Source organism: Homo sapiens, chromosome 15 (genome assembly GCF_000001405.40).
Source record: "Homo sapiens chromosome 15, GRCh38.p14 Primary Assembly".
Taxonomy (NCBI): domain Eukaryota; kingdom Metazoa; phylum Chordata; class Mammalia; order Primates; family Hominidae; genus Homo; species Homo sapiens.
In genome coordinates, this window is record NC_000015.10 from 68,427,031 (window position 1) to 68,433,869 (window position 6,839).

Consider the following 6,839-nt stretch of genomic DNA (forward strand, 5'->3'; position numbering starts at 1 on the left):
AAAAAAAAAAAGGCAGTGGCCTGGGGGTCAGACAAATCCCAACAATGCCTCTTACTCTATCGACATGACCTTGGATGAGCCTTTTAACTTCCTATGTGTAACCTGGAAATGGCAGAATTGTAGCAGTGACTTTGTGCAACTGTAGCAAGGCCTTATTGAGATGTGAGAAAGTGCTTGACACAGTGCCTGACATCAATCAAATATTAAATGATGGGAAGAGTAATAATGCTTCTGTTAGCTGAGGGCTTATTGGGTGCCAGACACTGTTCTCAGCACTTGACACAAATGAATTACATATGGACATTTAACCTGATTGTTGTCCTATGAAGTTGTTATTTTGCCCATTTTACAGTTGAGAAAACTGAGGCCTGGGGGCTTATCCCAGAGTCACCCAGGTAGAAAGGATTTGCATCCGGGCAGTCTAGGTCCTAAGCCCATGCACATGCCAATTATTTCTGCTGCTTGGTGAGTGCTTCAGTGAAGGAGGAAGTGAGAGGCAGCAGGGAGGGGGTTTGGCCTCACTGACTTTTTCCTCCAGGTGGGATTTCACACGTCGTGTGACTCAGATCTTAAGTATATAGTATGAAAACTCTCCATGGAATTTTTTTGCAGCTCACTTATTTTAGATTTACAAGATGACCAGCACCAGTCTCCTCCTCTCCTTCTCCTGTCAGTGGTAACAAACTTAATGGGCATTTGACAAAGAATTCACACAGTTAGGATCTGCATGATGGGGTTGTGGAGGGTCGCCCTTGGACCACAGCTCCTATAGAAAGCACTCCATGCTGAAGATGTGTGGGTGTCTTTGGAGCTCACAGCTGCTTAGGGAAAAGTTCCAAATGGCTATGAATCCTTGGTGGTAGCCTACATACAGTTGGTGGGGAGTGGGTGGGCCTGGAAGGGGACTTCAGTGATGAGGATCAGCAGAGATACCATTTTTGAACCATATTAGAGGATTTTTAAGGCTCATTTTGTAGCTGACCTTCCCTGAGTCAGCCAGAGCCCATCACTGCCTGGGGAGGGTTATGATGGATCCTAGAACAATGTTCGACTTTGACCCCCAAAGTAAGCTCTGGAAGCCCATGGTGAGACAATAACACCCAAAGTCAGGCATTGTGGAGAAGAAACAGGGGCTTTTAAAATTCCCCAAATTCCCTTCTGCATAGCAAGAGCAAAGCCAGCTCAGCTTAGAACATATTTTTATCCTAAGTGATAGGAGCTGGGGGTGTTGGTGGAAGGGAGGGAGAATGCAAGGGAAGGTCCCTGCTGTTAGAAGAAGGAAGAGCTCCCCACTACAGGAGGGTGGAAAAAGAGGTTCAGAGAGGGCAAGGTTGAGAGGTAAGATACTGTCTGAGTTCTTCCAGGGCTCACAGCCCTGTGTGGATGGGCTGGGAATGGTGGGAAGAGCATGGAGATAGACATCCCCTCTCTGGGGGTCCACTGTGGGGTAGAGATGGGGTCATGGTGAGTAAGCAGAAAAAGAGTGAGACTCCAGGGTCTGCTTGTGATATGGAAAGATCCAGAAGCTCCTCAGCTAATGGCAGCTGAGGGGCTTGGCTGTCAAAGTGGGCAATGGGGTGGCAAAGTGACAAACTTTCCCTTCTTCCCTGCTCTCCACTGGGAAGGAGAGGCTGGGAGCAAGTCTTGGACCTCTGGAGCCTTTGTACACCTGTGGTGTCTAGCACTGTGCTTTTCCACAGGTTGCTTTCTGTTGGGTAGGACCCCTACCCACAAGGGCCATGTTGCATGGTATGGGCCTTCTCCTTTTCCACACCACAATACACCCACATCAAGAGCATACTGACTTCAAGACAGCCCCGATGGTAAACAAACAAACAAAACAACAACCCTGAGTTCTTATTATGATCAAGAGTTTGGGCCAGGGCTTTGCGGGAGGGACTAGGAAAGTCTTCACTCATTTGGGGCCCTGGCATGTATGTCTCCTCTGATTCTTCAATGTACTTCCTCTAAACTTCTCTTGAGAACTTGAGTTTGAAAGTTATATCTCTGTGTCCTTAGATCCTGAATAGTCAATATCTTGAGTGCTACTGCTGCTGCTGATGATGTTGGAGAAGACAACCTCCTTGAGTGCTTAATACATGCCTGGCACTTTCTAAGCATTAATCTTTGTGATAACTCTAAGTTCTATTATTACCCCCACTTTGTAGGTGAGGAAACTGAGGCACAGAGCCATGGAGTAACTTGCCAAGAGCACAGAGCCCTAACCGGCAGGGGCTAGGCCAATCCCAGGCAGTGAAACTCCAGGGCCTCCACCCTTACGCTGTGTCTGATCTCACTTTGTGTCTTTATGGGGCCTGGCAGATAACAGGTGCTCAGCAAAGATTATGCTTCTAAGAATCATCACCCTTCCTACAGATAGGTTATGACTGTAAAGCTCTGGTCAATGGATCTCTCTCTTTGGACTTGATTACTTTTTTTTTAGGCTTTCCTGTTAGTTTTGTCTACCCCATCACGCTGTCCAGCCTGCAGCTGGAGCTCTGGGAGAGTAGATGCTCTGAGGTCTCACCCTCAACTTGGCCTCTGACAGGTTCCCTGCCCAGCCAAACTGCCATCACCAGTAGACAAGCTTCCTGGTAATCCTCACATTGAATTCATGTGATGCATGGATGAGGTATCAACATCAGTCCTGTCCTGGAGCCTGAGGAGTGAACCCAATGATCCCTGAGACCCTTCTAGTCTTCAAAGTCCACACTGACCAGAGTGGTTTTAAAATATTCATCATCTTCTTTAACTAGTCTCAGAAAATAATACTCCAAAATATGAACATTCCCACTTTCAGGCCCATGCACACTCTACACACTTTTCCAGGGCCAGTTCAAATGATATCTCCTCCTCCAGGAAGCCTTCCTTGCTTATCTGGCTGAAATTGAACTTCTCTTGTTTGAACACCCAGCCCTTGGTTTCCCCAAGCCATTCACTCCCTGGTGCCTCTGTTTAGCTTTCCCTGGCCTTGGCTTATTCTCAGTTACAGGCAGGACCCAGATTGCACACACGCTAGGGCCCCACCCCCAGCTCCTTGCAAGCAGATGTCATTGTTCCAACATTGATTGATATGTTTAATGAATCCCATATTTCAAGAATGCAACTGACCAGACATAACTCAGGAGTGGTTTTCGCCATATAAGCGGAGCTCTGAGTCACAAATCCTGTGTCTTCAGAGGTCCTTTAATGTCATTCTCTGCCCCCTCCTCCTTGAGTAGCAACAACATTAACAACCATTGATTAAAGCCTACTGTGCACCCAGCCCTGTGTTAAGGGCCTTTCTTACAGTGCCTTAGTGCATCCTGACAACTTTACAGGACACGGAATTTGTGTCTCCATTCTTCACATAAGGAAACCTGTTGGAAAGGTCGCATAACCAGTCCAAGATTGAACAGCTAGCAGGGTGCAGAGCCAGAAGTGGAAGCCAGGTCTGATTCCAAAGCCATTGCTCTTAGCTTCCTGAGGTCCAGGCTGTCCCTAGCCCCTAAGGCAGCCACTCCTTCCCAAGGTTCTGATGCAGCCACCTATCTGGAGTCACACAGGAGTGCGTCTCTTTTCTTGTGGCTGGATCTCCTAGTGATATGAGGACAGTTCCTGGAGAAGATTCTCCCCTCCTGTCTAAACACACCTAAATGGGCTTGGCCTCCTCCCGCAGCTGGCTTCTAGTTGCATATTGGCCTGGTGGCAGTTCTTCCCCTGCTCTCCCTTCCAAGCCCCCACAACTCAATGTATCAATGATTGTTTTAAACTGTGACTCTAGGATTCCACTAGCCAGAGGCCCTTTCAACCATGGGCCCTCTGAGAAGCTCCTCTGTAGGCCGACAGGAGGGTGGACTTGCTTCGCGTGGTACCCGGGGACTGGGGCAAGCGGCTGCGGGATAGGGGTCTCCACCTGAGCTCCCTGAGGGCACCTCTCCCACTACCACCGCATCTGACCCCCACTACTGGCCCCAGCTCGGGCCTGGAGCCCACGCAGAAGGGGAGGCAAGGTTGAGCGCCCACACCCGGCCAGTAACCGAGGCGCTGGCCCTTGCCGGAGCACTTGGCCGTCTTCCGCAGAACAGCATCACTGGCAGCCGCCCCGCGTGGAGGGTGGAGCCGGGGAGCCCGGTGTGGGACGGCCGGGGCCAGGGTACCCTAGGGCGGAGAGCTCAGGGCTGGCTTCCCGCTCCCAGCCGCGCGCCCCTCGGGCCGGAGGTTCCTGCCGCGCCCCGACACCTGGAGTGCATTAGGCGGCGGCGCGCGTCTAGGCGACGGCGGCTTTCCCCAGATTATTGAATAATTGCATAATTCCGAGCGCGGGTTGGGAGGCAATGCCGGGTCCCTACCCCGGGTGTCAGGTAACGTTTCGGGGGTCCTGCGCTGCGCGACTGTGTCCCGCCGCTGCTGGCCGGGCAGACGAGAGCTAGCCCCCGCCTACCGGCCATCGCCCCGGGGCTTTGCTCTGTCTTTGGCCGGAGGCACTCTGCGCAGCCCTCACCCCCACCCTTCAGCCCTCCGGGGCCGCCGCGCCCGGCTCTCCAAACTTTGAGATGCTTCCCCGGAGCCAGGCAGGAGGGCAGCCAGGGCACACTCTCTTGGCGCTGATTCCCTTCCCCAGCCGGGGCCGTGCGCCCTCGGCGCTCCCGGGACACCCGAGTGCCCCTGGCAGCCGTGCGGGAACCCCGGCATGGGCCTTGGAGGCACCTAAGGCGCCCAGGAGGGCCACCAGATCTGGGAGCTTTTCAACTCAAGCCTCTTCAACTCTTCCCAAACACACCAAAGAGTCCCGGCTTTCAATAGCCTTCGCACCTCCCTCTTTAGCGAAACTTGACTGAACCGCTAGACTGGGGCCAGTCCCTGGGGGACCCACGTCCCCAAGAGCAGCTGAGGTCTGACCCTGGGAGGAGGGTCGCGTCCCGATCCTGGCCGCTGGATCCAAGCCCCGAGGGCCCAGGGAGGGACTCCGAGAGGCAAGGGGAGGCAGAGGGTGGGCACCTACCTGGCCACAGGCTGAGCGCCCAGGCCACCACCAGGCCCCTGGGCAGGTCCATGGCCCGCGGCACGGCGGCTGGGTCCGGTGTGCAGCGGCGGCGGGGGGCGGCAAGCCAGAGCGGCAGCCTCCTCGGCGCGGCGCCTGCAGCCTGCACTGCGCGGGGCGCCGGGCTCCCTGACAGCTGCGGCTCATTCAGAGGAAGTGGGAGGGCTCGAGCGGAGGGGAGGGGCGCCGGACACCACTCCGGCTCGGGCTCTGGGCCAGTCTCGGCCGCTCTGCCACCTGGGCAGGCGGCGCGCTGCCTCGACGCGCCTGTGCAGCGCTCCTTCTCCGCCAACCCCACGTCAGCCTCTGGAGAAAACTCCAGAGAACCGCTCCTGGGAACCCCCTCACCAGTGTAGCACCGCACCGCCTCAGTCAGATTCTGTTCAGGAAAAGTGGTTTTTATTCCCATTTCCCAGTGAAAAGAGATTCACAAAACTCAGAGGGTACCCAAGCTGGCTCAGGAACACCTGCTGGAACGCAGGTCTCCCTTGGCCAAGTGAGTGGATGTCCCTCAAAGGTCCATTCTAAGACATCCCCGTGTCTCCCTGCACCCTGCGGCTTGAATTGTAGAGGCTAGTGTTTCTTCTGACCCTGGAATACATGCAGATTCGCCTCCACTGCCACTCCCTGAGCCTCCACACCTGAGGCATTCCAAAGCACCCAGGGACACCGTGCACCCCCTCTTAACCTAACGTGAAGCTCTTCTTTGTAACCCTGCCACCTTCTTTCCCTCTTCTAATCACTGGTAGTTAAATTCAATGCACATTTATCTCAAGAGCTTTAAATCCAGGCCCCGGACCTCCACCGCGCTTGTGGAGGCTTTTCCAGCAATGGAGGAAGCCGAGGCAGAGGGTAGGAAGGCCAAGATGCAGGGAAAGCCACAGCAGAGCGCCCTTCCCCCACTTTCTCAGGAAAGGCTTCCTTCACCCCCTCTTCCCGTCCCCACCAGGTTGAGTCCCAGACACATGCTGATATTCCCCAGCCCGCTCTCCCTCATTTCTCTTCATTGTGCTTAGTAGAGAAGCAAGGCATCAATTGGTGTGATCATTTAACTTTTCTCTCCTGTGCAGACTGAAAACACCATCAGGGTAGAAATCTCTGGTTCACAATGGAGTACTCAGCCCCTAACACCCAGGAACAAAGTAGGTGGGCGGGTGGATGGATGGGTGAGTACAGGTGGTGTGTGGGTGCACAAAGGATAGAGTTTTCTATCTGGGAGGTATTGGAAGGGCTTCCCAGAGGAGGTGATGTTCAGTCAGGGCCCCTGAAGATGAGCTGGAGTTTGAGAAGACCCAGGTTCACATAAGTGAAGTGGGCTTGTGCTCGTCTCCCAACCTCACTATCTTTCGGTTGGCTATCTGGGTTTTACTTCATCTTCACCTCACCCATTCAGCCACAGACTCGGGGAAGGTGATTCCGTCCCTGGTGTGTGTGTGTGTGTGTGTGTGTGTGTAAGGAGGCATGCGGTTCAGGCTGAAATGAATCAGTATGTTGCCCTTCCCAGCCCATCGTTTCAGAAAGGGCAATATGACAAAAGAAAAAGTTTTTTTGGGAAGCAAGCTTTCTTGCCTTTCTAAAAGAGCCCCTAGAACAAACAAACAAATGAACTAACTCTCTCTCCTCACCTCTCCCACTCCTGCCTCCTCTCCCAGCCTGGGACAAGGAACTTTGTAGGCTCAGAAGTTGACAGGGTCAGGGTAGGGAAGGAGGATCTGGCCTTGAGATGAGGTGGACACTGGATGACAGAATGGAGGATCTTGTTGAACTCCTGAATGAAGCCACCCCTTAACCCCACTCCCCTTGGGACTTATCAGTT

At 53.5% G+C, this 6,839-nt stretch overlaps 1 protein-coding gene across 2 annotated transcripts in view, besides 1 other annotated feature; it reads right to left on the reverse strand.

Moving 5' to 3' along the window:
• Positions 1-5,133, reverse strand: part of ITGA11 (integrin subunit alpha 11) — a 135,632-nt gene extending 130,499 nt beyond the window's left edge. For both annotated transcript variants that reach the window (XM_011521363.3, NM_001004439.2), the window contains exon 1: positions 4,985-5,133. In XM_011521363.3, the coding sequence (XP_011519665.1) occupies positions 4,985-5,036 (52 nt within the window). In that variant the 5' untranslated portion in view covers positions 5,037-5,133. The remainder of the gene's footprint in view (positions 1-4,984) is intronic.
• Positions 3,534-4,293: an enhancer, noted in NCBI's record as "H3K4me1 hESC enhancer chr15:68722903-68723662 (GRCh37/hg19 assembly coordinates)". NCBI's record gives its function as "activates a minimal SCP1, AML or CMV promoter by ChIP-STARR-seq in naive H9 embryonic stem cells {active_cell/tissue: H9 hESC(naive)}" and the evidence as "EXISTENCE:reporter gene assay evidence [ECO:0000049][PMID:30033119]".